The sequence below is a fragment of the Homo sapiens genome, chromosome 9 (assembly GCF_000001405.40).
Source record: "Homo sapiens chromosome 9, GRCh38.p14 Primary Assembly".
NCBI lineage: Eukaryota > Metazoa > Chordata > Mammalia > Primates > Hominidae > Homo > Homo sapiens.
In genome coordinates, this window is record NC_000009.12 from 121,841,493 (window position 1) to 121,861,995 (window position 20,503).

General features: G+C 44.6%; 1 protein-coding gene across 6 annotated transcripts in view; it reads right to left on the reverse strand.

The window, feature by feature from the left end:
* Window positions 1-20,503, reverse strand: part of TTLL11 (tubulin tyrosine ligase like 11) — a 277,635-nt gene that overhangs the window by 25,819 nt on the left and 231,313 nt on the right. For 4 of the 6 annotated variants that reach the window (XR_001746188.2, XM_047422825.1, NM_001139442.2 and 1 more), the window contains one exon: window positions 18,845-18,951. Coding sequence is in view for 5 of the 6 variants with exons in the window: in XM_047422825.1 (XP_047278781.1) it covers window positions 18,845-18,951 (107 nt within the window). In the remaining variant the exon portion in view is untranslated. Of the gene's footprint in view, window positions 1-13,822; window positions 14,070-18,844; window positions 18,952-20,503 lie in introns of those variants that run through there. The other 2 variants (NM_001386831.1, NM_001386832.1) reach the window with 1 other exon arrangement.

Here is a 20,503-nt window from a genome sequence, read left to right on the forward strand (position 1 = left end):
AGTGTGGGCAGAGACTCCCACCTGCTACCAAGAAGAACGCACTCAGTCATGTAAGGTCTCGTGGAACAGACGAGGTGAGCTCCCTTTCTCTAGAGGCTGCTTGGGGCCTCCCGGGCTGAGGACACATCTTTGCCCTGAGTCACGTGGCAGCTGCATGGTGTGGCTGTGGTGGGGCACGAAGAACTGTTACAGCAGCCCAGGAAGCTGAAGGGGAAAAGCCCAATGATTATTATCGTTGGGCCAGACCATTGTTTGTTGTGGGGGTCTGTCTTGTGCATTTCAGGTTGTCTAGCAGCAGCCGTCGGCTTGACCCACTAGATGCCAGTATAGCAACTCCCTTCCCCCAGTATGACAACTAAAAATGTCTCAAATCGTGGCCAGATGTCCCCCTGGGAGTTAAAATTGTCCCCAGTTGAGAACCACTCGTCTCTCTAGACTTCAGGGAAGACATGGATGCCTGACCACTGGAAGTGTCCCAATTCTTCCAGCGAGATGCAGAGCTCCCCGAGAGCATGTGCCTGCCTTCTTCCACCTCTCAGGGGGCAAAGGACAGGGTATATTTCATCACATATTTGTGGACTATCTCAAAAAGGAATGTGTCTAACTTACTGCTTAAAACATCTGGAAAAAGAGCAGGCTGGGGATGTAGAAAGTCAATGGACAGTCGGTGCTTCTTCCAATACTTTGCTAGGGTCTCAGAGTCCCTCACATGTAAAACAAGGGGGTTGAAAGAGATGATCTTTAGGGCTCCCTCTCCTTTTTTTTAAAAAAAAAAGACACGTGGTCTCTCTCTGTCACCCAGGCTGGAGGACTGGAGTGCAGTGATGTAATCATAGCTCACCGCAGCTTCAAGTTCCTGGGCTCAAGCAATCCTCCTGCCCCAGCATTCTAAGTAACCAGGATTATAGGTGCATGCCACCCTGCCTGGCTAATGTTTTTGTAACTTTGTGTATGTGTGTGTAGAGTCAGGGTCTCGCTATGTTTCCCAGGCTGGTCACAAACTCCTGGGCTCAAGTGATCCTCCTGCCTTGGCCTCCCAAAGTACAGGCATGAGCTACTGTGTGCCTGGCCCCCTTCTACTTTTGAACACTATGATTCCATGTCAGTAAGATGAATAAGGTGAATATGTAGGAAATGTTACCCATGAATTCTGAAGGTGGCTCCTATGGGCCAGATGAGTCTCTGTCTTGGGTAACCTGGGCATTTTTTGATGACAAATAACTGATCAGATGGTTTGTGAGATTCTCTCTGCTCTCTTGGGTTAAATGAGTAAGCCCAGATTTCCCCGGAGAATCTCTGAAAGGTAAACACTTCTGGAATGTTGGTCATTGCTGCAGTTTCTCAAAGACCATTAGAATCTAAAGACAAAGAATTATGGCTCTACCACTCACGAGCTGGGTGACCTTGGACACATTATTTAACCTCTCTGAGCCTTAGCTTTCTTCTCTGTAACCTGGAGTACAGAGCTTAAATCTCAGGATTGTTGGGAGATGTGCGAAATGCTAACAGAGGACTTTTAGTTTCAGCTCTGACGCATAAAGAGCTTAGAAGTCATTGCTCCTGGCTGGGCACAGTGACATATACCTGTAATCCCAGCACTATGGGGGCCGAGGCTGGAGGATCCCTTGAGCGCAGTAGTTCAAGACCAGCCTCAGCAACATAGTGAGACCCCCATCTTTATTTAAAAAAAAAAATGAGAGAAGTAGTCACTCCCATCTTTACAACAATAAAAAAAAGCTGAACAAATTGAAAAATCAATGACTTTTCTAAGATCCATGAGTACTGAGGTCACAGGACAAGCCACCACCCTAAAAACCATTGAGACCTGTGAATATAGAGAATCACAGCTGAGTTCAGCTTACCAGGAGCAGAAGCTTCTGGAGCCAGGAGCTGATAAGAACATTTCACTCGTAATTGATGAGTTGCTAGAGACAGTGTGAGGCTCAACCTTTAACTAGGTTGAGTTAAAAACGCCTGGGGGCCAGTCTTAGGGGGTCTCCCACCTTTTTGTGAGTGGGGCTCCAGGAGCCCCACCAGGTTCTCAAGAAAAAGATTAGAGAAAATCTTCTCATGCTTCAGAAAGGGGTGGGGGAGGTAACCATTTTGGAATATGCCTAGAGCACTCTCCATAACAAAGGCCTGCTAATGCGGGAAACTATTATTTATTTACTTATTTTTTGTTATTATTATTATTATTAGAGACAGGGTCTTGCCCTGTCACCCAGGTTGGAGTGCAGTGGTGCAACCACAGCTCACTGCAGCCTTGACCTCCTGGGCTCAAGCCATCCTCCTACCTCAGCCTCCCAAGTAGCTGGGACTACAGGCGTGTGACATCACACCTGGCTATTTTTAAAATTTTTTGTAGAGACAGGTGTCTCACTGTGCGGCGTAAGCTGATCTCGAACTCCTAAACTCACATGATCTTCCTGCCTCAGCCTTCCAAAGTGCTGGGATTACTTGGTGTAAGCCATCACACCCAGCCAGAAACTACTTTAGTAGAGGCTGATCTGACCTAGGGGAAGGGCAATTAGGTAACTCTAGCTTTTCTAGCCTTTCTAGTTTTCACACATAAAGGGAGAAAAAAGGGGCTAAGAAGCACTTCTGAAAGTCACAGCCCATGGACTCAAGCCCACTAGGAACAGATTTAATCTCAAGATTGTAAAATGTTTCTCTACCCAGCACCTTATCACCACATCAGCAGGGTTCACTCCAGTGCAATAACAGTGGATTCCAATTGAGAGAGATCCAAGAAAAAGATTCCATTTAAGGAGTTTTTAAGGAAATACGAAGGCAATAGGGAGAGAAAAAAAAACAAAACAAAAAAAACAATTGGAGGAAACCGAAGCTTCTGGCACCTATGACTACAGCAAACATTAAACACAGCCCAGCTCCTAGAAAGATAAATATAAAACCTCACACTGAAAGCCTGATTACCTTGGTTCCTATTATCAGGTACTTCATGGCTGGCTTTCAACAAAACATTACAAGACCTGCTAAAAGGCAGGAAAATATACAGTGCAAAGAGACAAAGCAAGCATGAGAAACAAACTCAAGTATGACACAGATGTTGGAATTATCCAATGGAGAATACAAAATAATGATTAATATGTTAAAGTCTCTAATGGAAAAAGTAGGCAACATTCAAGAACAGATGGAAAATGTAAGGAGAAATGGAAACTCTAAGAATCCAAAAGAAATGCTAGAAATAAAAAACATTATAACAGAAATGAAGAAGGCTCTCAATGGGCCCATCAGCAGATTGGATACAGTCAAAGAAAGAATCAGTGAGCTTGAAGATATGTCAATAGGAATGTCCTAAACTGAAACAATGAATTAAAGAAAAAAAATACTGAAAAAAAGGAGACTATCCAGGAACAGTGGGACAATGACAAAAAGTACAAAATATATGTTATGAGAATATCGGAAGGAGAAGAATGAAGGGAGCAGAAGATAGATTTGAAGCCGTAATATTTGAGAATTTTCCAAAATTACAGACAGACACCAAAACCACAGATCTAGAAAGCTCACAGAAAACCGTGCAGGACAAATAACAAAAATCTACACCTAGAGAAAATCATATTTAAACTGTAGAAAACCAGAGACAAAGAGAAAATCTTGAAAGAAGCCAGAGAGGAAAAATAATACCTTACCTATACAGGTAAGGTATATATGCCTTAGGTAAGGTATATATAATGCCTTAAGGACAAGAATTACACCAGCCATCTCACCTAAAACCATGCAAGCAAGAAGAGAGTGGAGTGAAATACTTAAAGTATTAGAAAAAGAAACCCCACCAACCTAGAATTCTGTATGGAGTGAAATTATCCTCCAGAAATGAAGGAGAAATACACTCTCAGACAAACAAAAACTGAAGGGATCTGTTGCCAATAGACTTGCTTTGTAACAAATATTTAAAAACAAATTTCAGAGAACAGAAAAATGATATGGGCCAGAGACTCAGATCTACATAAAGAAAGGAAGAGCATTAGAGAATAAATAATAGAAGATACAATAAAATGTTTTTTCTTAATTTTAATTGATCTAATAGATAATTGTTCAAAGTAATAATAGCAACACTGCATTGGGTGATTATAGCTTGGGGATAAGTGAAATGAATAACAGCAATGTTATAAGGCATGGAAAAGAGAAATCAGAAGTTCTCTGTTATAAAGTACCTGCACTATCTGTTAAAGGGGTATAGTGTTATTTGAAAATGGACTTATTAGCTGGAAACTAATTGTAAACTCTAGGATAATGACTATTTTTAAAAAGGAGTATAATTGCTAAGCTAAAAGAGGAGATAAAGTGGAATTATACAAAATTCTCTATTAAAACCAGAAAAGGCAGAAAAGAGAAGTAAAAACAGAAACAAAGAACAAGTCAGTGAATAGCAAGCTGTTACAAACATTGATAGGTATCAATCCAACTATATCAATAAGTATTTTAAATGTGAATGGTTTAAATAAATTAAAGGACAGAGACTGTTGAGAGGATTAAAAAACGAGACCCAACTGAAACACAGCTTAAAGATAAAAAGAAACACACTTTAAATGTAAAAACAACAAAAAAAAGATAGATAAAAAAGCAAAGGGTTGGAGGAAGATATATCATGATAACCCTAACTAAAAGAAAGTTACAGTAGCTATATTAATTTCAGACAAAGCAGACTGCAGAACAGGGAAAATTATCAGGGATAAAGGTGAGTAATAATGATAAAGGGACAATTCTCCAAGGAGACATAATAATCCTTAACATGTATGCACCTAACAATGGAGTGTCAAAATATGTGAGACAAAACTGATAGAACTACAAAGAAAAATAGATAAATCTACTATTATAGGTGGAGACTTCAACACCCCTCTATCAGTAACTGACAGATCCAGCAGGCAGAAAATTGGTAAGGGTATAGTTGAACATAGCAGCACCATCAATCAACTATGTCTAATTGACATGTATACAATACTTTATCCAACAAGAGTAGAATATACATTCTTCCCAGTTCAAATGAAATATTCACCAAGACAGACTACATTCTAGACCACAAAACACACCTTTTTAACACATTTAAAAGAATAGAGATCATACAAAAAATTCTCTCAGGCCACAATAGAATTAAACTAAAAATCAATAACAGAAAGACGGTTGAGAAGTCCCCAGATATTTGGAGAATAAGTAGCACATGTCTAAACAACATATAGGTCCAAAAAAATCTCAAAAGATATTTAAAAATATTTTAAACTAGGCGAAGATTAAAATATAAATTATTGAAATTTGTGGGATCCAGTGATATTAGTGCTTAGAAGAACAATTTATAGCAATAGATTAGACAAGAAGAAAGATCTAAAATCAATAAGCTTCCATTTTAGGAAACTAGGAAAAAAGTAAATTTAATCCAAAACAAACAGAAAGAAAGAAATAATAAAAATCAGAACACAAGGCCGGGCCCGGTGGCTCACGCCTGTAATCCCAGCACTTTGGGAGGCCGAGGCGGGCGGATCACGAGGTCAAGAGATCAAGGCCATCCTGGCTAACAAGGTGAAACCCCATCTCTACTAAAAATACAAAAAATTAGCCAGGCGTGGTGGCTGGCGCCTATAGTCCCAGCTACTCGGGAGGCTGAGGCAGAAGAATGGCGTGAACCCGGGAGGCGGAGCTTGCCGTGAGGCGAGATCGCACCACTGCACTCCAGCCTGGGAGACTGCGAGACTCCGTCTCAAAAAAAAAAAAAAAAAAAAAATCAGAACACAAATTAATGAATTAAAAATAGGAAGAAAGCAATAGAGAAAATCTATAAAACCAAAAGCTGGTTCTTTGAAAAGCCTTAAGATCAATAAAATTGATAAATCTCTAGCCCAGCTAACCAAAAACAAACAAACAAAAGCAAACAAAAAAAGCAACAACAGAGAAAGAGAAAAGGTTATTAGATTACTAATTAGTAATTACAAATTACTAATATCAGAAATGAAAGAGGGATCATCACTATCACTACTTATCCCATGGATATTAAAAGGAAAATAAAGAAATATTACAAATAAGTCTATGTCTACAAATTTGATTAGATAAAATAGATCCATTCCTTGAAAGAAATAATTTATGAAAACTCACACGAGAATAAACAGATAATCTGAATAGGCCTTTATCTATTAAAGAAATTAGATGAATAATCAATAACTTTTCAAAAAAGAAAGCACCATGCCAGCTAGCTTCATTTGGTGAGTTCTAACAAACGTTTAAGAAGGAAATGATACAAATTCTCTACAATCTCTTTCAGAATACAGAAGCAGAGAAAACACTTCCTAACTCATTCTGTGAGGCCAGCATTACCCTAATACCTAAACCAGATAATGATATTACCAGAAAGAAAAACTGCATACCAATATTCCTCTTGAGCATAGATGCAAAAACCCTCAATAAAATATCAGCAAATTGAATCACAGGCTGGGCACCAATATAATTCCAACACTTTAAGAGGCCAAAGTAGGAGGATTGCTTGAGTCCAGGAGTTTGAGACCAGCCTGGGCAATCCTGTGAGACCCAGTCTCTACAAAAAATTTTTAAAAATAAATTAGCCAGGTGTGGGGGCACATGCCTGTAGCCCTAACCACTCAGGAGGCTAAGGCAGAAGGATCACTTAAGCCCAGGACTTTGAGTCTGCAATGAGCCAAGATTGTGTCACTGCACTCCAGCCTGGTCAACAGAGCAAGACCCTATCGCTAAGGAAAAAAAAAGAAAAAAAAAAAGGAATCATATACCATGACCAATGCGATTACTTCCTCAACTTGATAAAGCAATATCTACAAAAAAATCTTATAGTTTAATGGAAATAAATTAGACGCTTGCCTCTTAACATCAGGAAGAAAAAGTCCCCCCCCTTACCATTCCTGTCCAACATTGGACTAGAAGTCATAGCTAATGCAGTAAGACAAGAAAAGGAAATGAAAGGTATAGAGATTTGGAAGGAAGAAATAAAATTTTCTGTGTTCAGTGGATTGTCAATGTAGAAAATCCCAATGAATTGACAAAGAAACCTCCTGAAGTAACAAATGACTATAGTATGTTTGAAGGATACAAGGTTATTATAGGAAAGTCAATTTTTAAAAATATATTAGCAATGAACAAATGGAATTTGAAATTAAAAACATATTTGAAGTTAAAACCATTTACATTAGCACCAAAATAAAATAAAATATTTAGGTATAAATCTAAGAGAATATGTGCAAGATCTATATGAGGAAAACTAGAAAACTTAGATGAAAGAAATAAAAAGAAGATCTAAATAAATGAAGAGCTACTTCATGTTTATGAATAGGAAGATCATTATTGTTCTTTCTGACTTGATCTATGGATTCAACACAATCCAAATGAAAATCCCAGCAAGTTATTTTGTGGATATTGACACACTAATTCAAAATTTATATGAAAGGACAAAAGACCAGAATAGCAAACATAACACTGAAGAAGAAAAAGAACCAAGTCAGTGGACTGACACTGCTCAACTCCAAAATTTACTATAAAGCTCTAGTAATCAAAACAGTATGGTATTAGTAAAAGAATAGGTAACTAGACCAATGGAACAGAAGAGAGAGTCCTGGTAGGCCCCTGTGAATATAGTCAACTGATCTTTGACACAGGAGTAAATGCAATTCAATGTAGAGAGGTTAGTCTTTTCAACAAGCTGTGCTGGCACAATTGTGCATCAATAAGCAAAACAAATAAATAAGAGAATCTAAACACAGAACTTACACCTTTCACAAAAATGAAGTCAAAATGGATCACAGACCTACGTGTAAAATACAAACTATAAAATTTCTAGATGATAATATGGGAGAAAATCTAGATGACCTCGGGTTTGGCTATAAAATTTTAGACACAAGACCAAGAGCAAGATTCATGAAGGAAAAAAATTGTTAAGTTGAACTTTATTAAGATTAAAAACTTCTCCTCTGAAAAGACATTGTTAAGAAAATGAGATAAGCCACAGACTGGGAGAAAAGTATATGCAAAATATATATCTGATAAAGAACTTGTCTCCAAAATATACAAAGAATTCTTAAAACTCAACAATTAAAAAAACTCAATTAAAACATGGGCAAAAGAGCTGAACAGACATCTCACCAAAGAAGTTATACAGATGACAAATAAGCGTATGTAAAGATACTCAACATCAAATGTCTTTAGGGAATTGCAAAGTAAGACAATGAGGTGGCACTATATACCTATCAAAATGGCTAAATCCAAAAAACTGAGTACACTAAGTGTTGACAAGGATGTGGGGCAAAAAGAACTCTCATTGATTACTGTAGGAATGCAAAATGGTACTACTACTTTGGAAGACAGTCTGGCGTCCCTCAGCATCCACAGGAGATCAGTTCCAGGTAACCCCACCGCTACCAAATTCTGCAGATACTCGAGTTCCTTATATAAAATGGTGTAGTATTTGCATATAACCTATGCACATCCTGCTGTATACTTCAAATTATCTCTAGATTACTTATAATACCTAACACAATGTAAATGTTATGTAACTGTTACACTGTATTTTTTATTTGTATTTTTAAAATTGTTATATTATTTTTTATTTTTCTTAAAAAAAACCTACCAATCCATGGCTGATTTAAATCTGCACATGTGGAATGCATGGATATGGAAGACTCACTGCATATATATATAGACAGAGAGATAAATAGATACAGATGTAGATAGATACAGAGATAGATATAGATATTCATAGATATGGATATGTGAAAGGGGATTTATTAGGGGAATTGGCTCAGGGCTGAGAAGTCCCACATACAACAGACCATCTTTAAAGTGGAGACCCTAGGAAGTCAGTGGTGTGGCTCAGTCCAAGTCTGATGGCCCACGAACAAGAGATGCCAATGGTGTAACTCTCAGTCCCAGGCCTAAGGCCTAAGTAGTTGGAGCTGGAGGGGTGGGGGTGAGGGGAGGACCTGGTGTAAGTCCTGGATTCCAAAGGTCAGAGAACCTGGAGTTCTGACGTCCAAAGACAGGAGAAGAAGAGTGTCCCAGCTCCATGAGGGAGCAGTGAAGGGGGAGGAGTGGGGAGGTGGTGGGCAAGAGAGAGAGAGAAAGAGAAAGAGAGTCATCTTGGCCTTTTTGTTGCTGTTGTTCTATTTGGGCCCCCAGCTGATTGGATGGTGCCCACTCACATTGAGAGTGAATCTTCGCCATCCAGTTCACTAACTCACACACCAATCTCCTATGGAAACACTGTCACAGACACACCCAGAACTAATGCTTTACCAGTTCTCTAGGTATCCCTTACTCCAGTCAAGTAGACACCTGAAATTAACCATTGCACCATACAATCCAACCATCACGTCCTTGGTAATTGCCCAATCGTGCTACAAACTTATGTCCACACAAAACCCACGCACGAATGTTTATAGTAGCTTTAATTATGATTGCCAAAAACTAGAAGCAAGCAAGGTGTATCTCAGTCAGTGAATAGACGAACAAACTGTGGCATATCTGTTCAATGGACTATTATTCAGAGATAAAAAGAAATGAGCTGGCAAGCCATAAAAGACATGGAGAAACCTTAAATGCATATTGTTAAGTGAAAAGAGCCAGTCTGAAAAGGCTAGATACGATATGATTCCAACAATATGACTTTCTGAAAAAGGCTAAACTATAGAGAGTAAAAAGATCAGGCGCTCACGGAGGGGAGGGCTGAACAGGGGGAGCACAGGGAATTTTTAGGGCAGTGAAACTATTCTGTATTACACTGTAATGGTGGCTACATTTGTCAAATGTCAAATCCCACAGAACTGTACAACACAAAGAGTGAACCTTAATGCAAACTACAGACTTGAGTCGATCATAATATACCAAGGTTTTTCCATTAATTATAACAGCACAATCATGCAAGATGGTGTTATAAGGAAACTGTGTGCATGGGAATGGGAGAGTGCATGGGAATTCTGTACTATCTGCTCAATTTTTTCTGTAACTATATGTTCTAAAAATATTAAGCCTATTAATTTTTTAAAAAAGGCTTTTACAGCACCTGGCCTGTGTTAGGTGCTTGATAAATGTAGCTGGTGTTGGCGTCAATCACCGGCAGTTGCATTAGGAGAGAGCCTGCTGGAGAAGATACAGTCAGGAGACCTGGGTCTCAGCCTGAGCACTGCAGGGGCTATTGGAGGTGGCCCCTAACCCGTCCCATCCTTATTTCCACAGCTCTAAATCTGGAATAAGAGAAATTCCTCCCCTCAGTGCAGTTGGGAGCACTGAGTGCTGTGTTTTGCAACAATAAAGTGTGTGCAAACAATTTACTGCCTGCTCCAGGCTGTGGGAGGAACGGATGGATGAGAGGAGTGGTGGGGGGGAAGCCCTCACAGCCCCGAGAGCTCCCTGGACATGCTGTTGTTGTTAACGCCAGGCTTAGCCAAGACCAAGGGCCAGACCATCCTACTAAACACAGCTCTGCCCAATTCTCAGGCCTGGGAGAATTTGAGGGCCGGGACGGGGCTCACATCTTCATGTGCCTGTGACGGTTGTCACTGCGCAAGGCAGACCAGGACTGAGACTCGGGGCTGGCCCCTGTTCTGCCCCTGCCTGCCTGTGGAGCTGTTTCTAGCCCTCTGAGCCTTGGTTTCCTCCTCTGTATATAGGGTCACGGTAGAGCTCACTGGGAGTGTGTGCACTGTGTGGACAAGTGACTTTGGAAATGGTTTGTAATCTGTGACACACACACCCACCAGGAAGGATGGTGGTGGTTAGACAGAGAAAAAGCTACTGTTTGGGCCAGGTGCATACTTTATCACTAAATCCTGACAGTGCCCCAAGGTAGATGTCATTGCCCCATTTCAAAGGACACTGAGGCTCCCAGAGGTGCAGTGCCCCCTCTCAGGGCTTCCCGAGGGAAGGTAGCAGAGTATTGAAACCCGGCCTGTCTAACTCAGCTGCCGGCTTTCTACACAACACTGGATCCTGCGGCTGCTGTTCCTACAAGATCTGGGGATGGTGGGCAACAAGTGTAGGGAGAGGGGAGGCCTACATCAAAAAGAATTCAGCTTTCTCCCCTTTGTCTGTTTTTGGGGGGTGGGGCCAGACGATGGGCAGAGATCCTATTCTCTCCACCCTCAAGGTGACTGAGGATGAGGAAGGACAGGCACTCGCCCGACAAAGGGGCAGCGGGTGTGACTCCACCTAGTCTGGTGGCACTACGGGTGCAGAAGTGGCTTTAGCAGGCCTGGGAGATCAGGGTCTGGGTGAGCGAGGGGGAGGTTGAGCCGGCATCTCTGCTGGCTCTCTTGCTTTTATTAAAAATAATTCTGACGCCAACTATTTTGTAAGCGTGTAGGGCACACATCCAGAGAGGCCCATCTGACTGCGAGATAATTTCAAGGCTGAAGAACATCGTTCGTGCCAGACACCTCGCACGAGGCGCTGCGTGAAACTGGCCTACTTATCCGAGGCCTCCTGTATTTCAGGGGGAGGGGGCAAGCCATGTTTATGTATAAAGGAGACTGCGCTCAACATTCCAAATGAAAATACTCTTCAATATTTCAGTGCATCGTTAACCAAATACATTTCAGCTGGGGCTTACTCCAGCCGATGTGAGCAGAGGCGTCAGATGACTCGCAGTCGGTGACTGAGGGATTTTGCTGAGAGATGGTCATGAGGCTCAGACACCCATGGGATTGGTGGGTTGCCGCGGCTGAGCCCTGGTCCATGGGACATGTGTAGCAGGGCACCTGCTAGATGCCAGTCTCAGTGCTTGGCCTCATGCAGGCGGGAACAGCTCTGTTTCCTGGATGTTGGCCTCATGTCGGGGGCAGATGTCCAGGCCCTTTCACAGTACTCAATGTGTGCTGTGGTCAAGGGCAGCGCTGGGTGCTGCGGAGCAGGTGAGACGGTACTGGGCCCAGCCTGAGCACTGGGGGAGGCTCTGTGAGGGAGGGGACCTGGGGGGTGGTGGTGAGCAAGGAGAGGGGGTTCCTGCAGAGGTGGGGGCCTGAGGGGGCCGGCCATTCTGGCTGGAGTGAGTGTGAGGCTAGTGATGAGTGGGGATGCAGAGTGGACAGGGGTCCAGCTCTCAAGGCCCTGAAATGCGCCAATGTCCTCCCCTGGGGTTGGAATTGTGAGACCAGTGACTGCAGGCAGCTGGGGGCCGGCACAGGCCTGTAAGTGATGGGAGCAGGCAGGGCTCCTGCTTCACACAGCCATGGACGAGGCTGCCAGCACCACATTTCCTCTGTCTTCCCCAGCCTCACTGTCCCCACTGTCGCCAGGGTGGGATGAGGAGGGCCTGGCACTCTGTCAGCCACCAAGGGAGAGTCTGTTGCGGCCACGTCCTGACCCTCTCATCTGGCTGTGAGGCAGGCCCTTCTTCCCATCTCTGTCCCCAGCACCTGCAGAGCAGCTGGCAGGGGTAGGTGCCCCAGAAGCACTTCCCGAGAAAGTAGTGCAGTAGGAGCAATGGGATCACACTAGGGGCAGACCCGCTTCCTGAGCATTTTCCACAGGCAGACATGGCCCTGAGCGCTTTCCGTGTTTTGTTTCATTTCATCCATCCCAAGGTTTCCAGGAGGCAGGCACCATTATTATCTCCACTTTACACCTGATGAACTTGAGGCTTGGAGGAAGTTGCCTAACTTCCCTGAGGTTAGCTAGCAAGTGACCAAGCGCAGATTGAAAGCCCAGTTTGTCTGATTCTGGAGACTGTGGCTTTGGGTATATAGCAAGTCAACCCAAGGCAGCCCCCGGAGCTGGGCACATAGCTCAGGAGGCAGGCATGTAGCTCATCAAGCAGTGGAAGAAATGTTTCTTATTTTGGTCAAAGAGCACTCAGCATATGTCAGATAATAAACAATGCCATTCTTAGATCTCCCTCTCCAAGCAAGAGGTGTGTGGTGTTTGAGCTCTCATGGGAAGGGGACGTGGGGAAGACTCCACAGTCAGTTTTTTCTTCCTTTGCTCTCATGTTCCCTTTGGTTACTGAAAGGGACCTTTAGCTTATATCTTAAAATAGCAAAAACATCTGGCTTTGAAGTAAACAAAGTTCAGAAGCCCCCAGATGTTGGTCTTTTGTTAGGACCAGGACAAGATTCTTGGTTGCCCAGCTCAAATGTTACCTTTGCGAGTAAAATGTTTGTCTCTCACAGCTGACACCATGATTTTGCCTTTAATTGCCTAATCTTGATGCTGTCCTCATCTCTTACCACGGAGATGTGAAATTCCACTCTGGAAAGAGCTGAGGGCAAAGTCTCCATGATAAGAAGGACCTCCTGAGTGCAATTTACATGAAATAAATGCATCTTCACTGACAAATTTGTTTCTTTATTTGAATTCTGGGCAATGAGAGGGCTACTCGAGGGCTACGACATCCCAGTTTTGCTGATAACATCCTCATTTAGAGTTCTGTGTCCTGCTGGAAATTCTAGAAGTGAAAATTAAAATTCTTATCTTTTTTTTAAATGACAATTAACATTGGCATGCTGGAGAGCATAAGCTACATGTTACTAAATTCCATCCAGCTCTTGAAGAGCCATTGACATTCTGACAGAGGTGAAGGCAAGCCCATTTGGGGAATGATGAACCCAGGGTGCAGACGGGGGGTTCCTTAGGTGGGGAGAGCCACATATTAGATGTAGGTCACTGTCAAATTCTAGCTTTTGTTTTGAGTGGTGAGTTTGCGGATGCTTATTCCATTATTAAAAATAGCTAATTTAAAAAGCTAACTAAATAAAAGTAGGTTATGCGTGGATCATGATGGAAGTGTCTCATGAACCCAGGGTGATGGGTGATGGCTAATCTAATTCTATGCACCTGAGGTCTAATAAAACACAAAACAAACAATCAAAAGCAAATTTATTTAAACGGATTATTTGAGTTTTAGATTTCATCATGTGCATGCTTTTTCTCACTAGTTTTTATTTTTTTCCTAATTATTTTAAGCACCATTTTTTCTTCTCCATTTCAATAGCAAGGTCTCCTTTTGCAGGTTATTTTTGTTCTTAAAGGTCTCAAGCATCAGGGATCTGGTTAACCCCTTCAGTGGGCACCAAAGTCTTATAACGGCAGAAGGAAGGTCTGGCTGGCTGCGGGAGAGGGGAAGATGCTTTAGCACTTTGACACAGCAGGCACTGGGTATGGGTGATGATCCAGTCCAAATGGGCGTTCAGAGGAGGGGAGGGAGACCCTGTCAAAGAGACCACCTCTACTCTGAGCCACGGTTCTCACACTCAGGATTCCCTGCTTTGAGGATGCAGGGCATCTTTTATTTTTGCATTTGTCTGCTCATCAAACATTAACTGGGCACTGGGCGAGATGCTTTGCATGTTCCAGGCCATGTGCTAGGCCCTCAAGGATACAGAATGCACAGTGGGTGGCTTTTCTGGGTCACAGCATGCTACGTGCCTTGTATGCGTTCTATCTTAACCCTCACAGCAACCTTCCTCTGTTGCTTCCCCCCATGATAGCTCTGGTCATATACTATTGCAATCGTCAACTGTATGTCATATTCATTTGTGACTGAGAGCACTGGGTATAATGGAAAGGGCAGCAGACACTGAAGTTAGACTGGTTTTTATTCAAATACTAGGGTCCCCACTGTAATATATTTTTTAGAGGCAGGATCTCTCTCTGTCACCCAGGCTGGAGTGCAGTGGCACAATTGCAGCTCACTGCAGCCTTGAACTCTTGAGTGCAAGCAATTCTCCTGCCTCAGCTTCCCAAGTCGCTGGGACTATAGGCAACTGCCATCATGCCTGGTGAATTTTTAAGTTTTTTAATAGAGACGGGGTCTTGCTATGTTGCCCAGGTTGGTCTCGAACTCCTAGCCTCAAGTAGTCCTCCCATCTCAGCCTCCCAAAGTGCTGGGATTACAGGCATGAGCCACTGCTACTGGCCCCCACTGTAATACTTGACGTGTCTGTGTAATTTCACCTCTTTGAGGCTCAGGTTTTCCATCTGTTGAATGGGAATAACAATGCTTATCTCACAGGATGGTGTGAGAAGTAAATGAGGTAATTCTTAGCAAGCATTTTTTATTTTTGTCTCACATAAATGTTCAGTAAATGGTCTCTTTTTTTCCCTTAAGAGGCTAGGATCTGTACCTAATTTATCTTTATATCCCTGCAGGGCACAATACCTGGTAACACATTCACTAGCTGTTAGTTGAATGGATGAATGAATGAATGAGTACGTGTTCTTTGAGCGTGAGAACCCAGGCTCTATCATTCTTCACAGGCTTCTTTCTTTTCAGCCCCCAGCAGCTGTGGGATGGGGAAAGCCGTCTCCCTCAGCATGGCACCCACACCTCCAGCCAGTACCTAACTGGATCTGAGGGCCTCGAACCCCTTGGATCCACACCATGGAGGGAAGAAAAGAAGACCCTCTGGTCTTTCTGCTGACACTTGGCAAAAGGAAGAACGACCACTTAACCACAGACTGCTCCTTTTGCTACTCAGTAGCTTCCTGAACGGTCCTAAGAAGGTGGCTGTCTCCAGATGCCCCTCTCCTTGAGAATCAGGGGCTTGGACCAGCCTTGAGAAGGAGGCAAGAACTGGGCCCTGGCTGGCACCAGCAGTGGCTCCTGAGACCACAGGCACAGAAGGCTTCCCATGTGTGGCTTTCATGCCCAGGCCCACTTCCTAGACCCCCAGGCCCTGCTATTTCCTTCCAGGAGTGAGGAAAACTCAGAGGACGGAGGAAAGGGAGACAGGAGGTTGGACAGGCACCCTCTCTGCTCCAGTTCTGTCCTCCCAGCAGGCCCTGTGAGTTGACTTTTATCCTCCCGCTGCTGCCGTCCCCTCTGACTCCTGCTTCACCAGCCCTGCCCCCTCTGTATCACTTAAGTGAACAAGCACTGCTTGGTGTAGCCCTGGATGGGGGGAGAGCACCCTGGGTGAGGAGGTAGGAGGACTGAGTTCAAATCTTGCCTTCTTTTGCTGCTCCCTGGCTGTGGGAGTTTAGACAAGTCACTTTTGCTCTTGGAACCTTAGGGTACTCATCTGTAAAAAGGGGTGCTGTTGCCCACCTCGAAGGCCTGGCGTGAGAATTTGCAGCGATATATGCACAAGTGAAGTAATCTCAAAACTGCTGTTACTACTATTCCACCTGGTGATGACTATTCCACCTAGTCAGGGGCTGAGGTCTGGCCAAGGGCCTGGGAGATCCCAGCCCTGAATTTGCTTATCAGTATGTGCTAAAAATAAGTATTTTTCTCATTTCCATAGCTTGGTCAGCAGAATACGGAGACCCTGGCAGACCCCAGAAAACCTCACCGGAGCTTGAATTGCGGACAGCCCCCGTGGATTCCGCTTACCGGGAGCAATTTAAGAGGCAAACAAAACATGAAAAACTACTCAGAATTAACAATGGGCCAGATGGTAATGCTAGTTTGCAGCAATAAAACATGATAAATAGCTTCCTGCTGCTACTCCTGATCAATTTCAATATTTAATAATTCCACTGCCACTCCCACCCCCTCATCTGGCCCCCTCCGTGGGATCCTGGATGACTCCCCACATTCAGCTCACAGAGCAAACACTTCTTTGCTTTCTGAAGGTGTCAGCAGAAAGTGCCGCTGCTCGATTGTCACATGAGCACTCTCAGTCCTCGAAATGATAATTAATCTGCCTACTTCTCCTGAAGACGCTCCATCTCACGCCTCTCCTGGTTGCCAGGGAGGGCTGTAAGGGAGCTGCCAACTGCAGAGATGCGATAGAGGCACTCATCTTGTTGATTCAATGACTGCTGCTATTTCCTGGGTTTTGCTTTTGACTTAAAGAAAGGGGAGCTGCAGGGAGCTCGGTGGTCATCTCACTCTAGGACCAGTGAGTAGGAGAAGGCAACCTGGAACGGGCTCGGGTGGATTGGTGTTTGAACCTTATCCACCAGCCATGCCTCTCTAGGCCTCAGTTTCCTCCTCTGCACAATGGAGATAATCATATCTACCTCTAGGAGAATTCTAGCCGGTGCTGCACATGTAAAGTGCCTGCAGAGTGCTTGGCATATAAGAATTGGCCAAGAACTGGCAGCCAGGAGCATCACTACTAAACACAAAGCCAAACAGCAAATGATGTCTGAGCGCCAGTGCCCTGCAGGAAGGACCGGCTGCATCTCTGTAGTTGGGAAGTTTCTGGCCCACATGGGTGTAGGGCAGGATTGGCTAGGGGTGCAACAGCTGCCAGGCAGACTGCCCCCAGGATTCTCCCCAAGGGGTGTCCACTAATAAGATAAACTGCCTCGCACCATCAGCGAGGACTCCAAAGACCTCAGAGCCACCCTGGAGAGCAGGGATTGTTGGCGCCATTTTACAGATGAGGAACTGGAGATAAGGAGGTGGAATGACTTTTCAAGCTGACATGGGCAGGAAATGGCATAATCAATTCTAATCTGGATCTCCCAACCTGACTTCATGTCCTCTCCACAGACTCACAGGAGCAAGCTGCCCCACTCCTCACGACCCGGTGCCTCCCTTCTGTGCGTCCCTTTTGGAGGGAGGCAGCCAGAAGAGGGCGTGGCGTGGGTGCCAGGGTGCTGCGGGCTCACAGTTCCTGTGTGATCTGTGTCACCTGAGCTGCAGTTTACTCGTCTGTGAAATGAGACTCATAATGCCTACTGCACTGGTTTACCGGGACATTTAATGAGGAAATATGCATGAAAGGACCTTGAAGTTTTGTGATGAGCTGTACAAATATCAGTTATGGTTATTATAATTTTTTTAGAAAAACACCCTCTGGGCTGGGCGCAGTGGCTCACGCCTGTAATCTCAGCACTTTGGGAAGTCAAGACAGGCGGATCACTTGAGCTCAGGAGTTCAAGACCAGCCTGGCCAACATGATGAAACCCTGTCTCTACTGAAAAAAAAAAAAAAATACAAAATTAGCCGGGCATGGTGGCTTGCACCTGTAATCCCAGATACTTGGGAGGCTGAGGCAGGATAACTGCTTGAACCTGGGAGGCAGAGGTTGCAGTGAGCTGAGATCGTGCCACTGCAACCACTCCAGCCTGGGCAACAGAGTGAGACTCCGTCTCAAAGACAAACAAAAAACAAAAGAGAGAGAGAGAAACACCCTCTGTGAGAAAAAAGATAGGAAACTCATCCACCTAAAGGTGGGTTCTTCTCACAGAACCCTTCACCACAGAACCTAGAGGATCAAGATCAAATTTTCTTGTGTGGCATTCAAGGCTTTGACAGCTCCCATAACCCCATCTCTACCCCTTCTCACATCCCTTTTTGCTCCAGCCCATCTGGGCTACTTGGTATGGTCTAAGCTCAACAGCCTCACCTGTGTCCAGGCCACGGCCAGGCAATAGCCCTGCCAGAGTGTCTGTCCCAGCCCTGTTCACCAGCTGATCCCGTACACCCTTCTCCTGAAGTCTTCCTTGGCCCTCCCTGGATGAGGAGCTCCTCCGCTGAGTTCCCGGATAGCTTCTCTGAGCTTCTCTCCCTCCGAGCCAGGCATCCTACTACCTAGCATCATTTTCTCATCTGCCTCCCAATGCTACAGTGAATTCTTTCAGGACGAGAACCAAGCACTATACCCTCCAGCCCACCCAAGGCTGGGCCCAGCATCTGCTCAGGAAATGTGTGTGAGGGGTGAACAAATGAATGAATAACTGAGTGTTCCCAGTATGGATGGAATCTGAGCCTTAAGCAAAGGCAAGGAATGCTAACGGTGGTATGAGAATTCGGTAGCAGACAGTGCTCCAGCATTTAAATTCAGCTCAATCCCTGGGATTATGTCTAGATCTGATGGCATCATCTTCTTCCCCCATCTGAACCCTTGACAAGAAGGAACAGAAAATATACCACCCATGCCTGTCAGGACCCCCACAGGCCATGGCAGAGGCATTTGTCAAATACCTGAGTCCCGCTGGTCCAGGGTCATGGAGTTCCACCTCCGTGTGATGTCAATGTAGAGGATGTCCACGGCAGCCATGGACAGGCTGCTGCTGCTGAGTTTGCAGCTCCTGCCAACAATGGGAAGTGACATGTCACTGCCAGCCTGAAACCTGTCCTGTCTATCTCTCCTCCACTCCTGTTAGGGACTGAATGTTTGTCCTCCCCAAATCCATAGGTTGAAATCCTATCCCTCCAATGTGATGGTGTTAGGAGGTGGGGCCTCTGACAGGTGATTAGGTCGTGAGGGTGGAGCCCTTGGGAATGGGAATAGTGCTCTTCTAGGAAGAGACACTAGAGAGCCTGCCTCCTCTCTACTCTCCACCATGTGAACATAGAAGAAGGCAGCCGTCTGCAAACCAGGAATTGGGTCCTCACCAGACATCAGATCTACCAGCACCTTGATCTTGGTCTTCCCAGCCTCCAGAACCATGAGAAGTAAATGTTTGTTGTTTAAGCCACTGAGGCTGTGGCATTTTTGTTCTAGCAGCCTGAACCGACTGACATTGTTTTTGTTTGGATTGTGTTCTGGGTCTGGAATGTCCTCCCTTACCACAGCTGGAACTACCGCAGGGTGACTGGCATGGAGCCATGGTAGAGAAGGCAGTGATGTAAGTGAGGTTAGATCCTCAGGTTCCTGTAAGTTCAGCCATTTGGTTAGTTATGGGTCTAACAGGCTGGAAAGAGCAAGAACTTTAGAAAAGCAAGGCAAGTGTTTTTTTTTTTTTTTTTGGATACAGAGTCTTGCTCTGTCATCCAGGCTGGAGTGCAGTATTGTAATCTCGGCTCACTGCAACCTCTGCCTCCTGGGTTCAAGCAGTTCTCCCTACGTCTGTCCCCTGAGTAGCTGGGATTACAGGTACCCAGCTAATTTTTATATTTTTAGTAGAGACGGAGTTTCACCATGTTGGCCAGGCTGGTCTTGAACTCCTGATCTCAGGTGATCCGCCCGCCTCGGCCTCCCCAAGTGCTGGGATTACAGGCGTGAGCCACTGTGCCTGGCCAGGAGAGCAAGTCTTGAGTTGTAGCCTGGCTCTGCCACTTGGAAGCTGCATGGCCCTGGTTAAAACATTTCACCTTTCTGAGTCTCGGTGTCCTCATCTATAAAACAGGTGGTCTTTATTATAGTCATTGTGTGTCAGCCTGACCTTGCACAGCAATGTGGGTCCCTGCTTGCTCTAAAAGAGAACAAACTCCACATGTCAAGAAATACCACCAGCAACGTGTCCTCATCTTCCTATCTCTTAGTCTCCAGAAGGAGGAGGGGAAGCTAGGCCCTCGGCACTGCCCTCTCCTGGAGTGTCCAGGCAGCTGACGGTGTCATGCTCAGATGACCCAAGGATGACAGCATGTCAACAGTACAGGCTGAAGCCATCACTACTGTCCAGAAGCAATTTCCCACTGGAAATGCTCACCAGATGAGTCCCTGAGGACAAATCTATGGACAAGGGCTCAAGGCTTCTGTACTTTACCCATCTCAATCTGTCACCTGAAGATTCTACATAAGCCCTGAATCAGCCACACTAAGCCCCAGATTTATAAAGCAGAACAGCACAGGCTGGGTCCTTGCTGCTCTGTGTGGGCTGACACAGAATTGCTGGGGAGGTTCCTTGTTCCTGACTT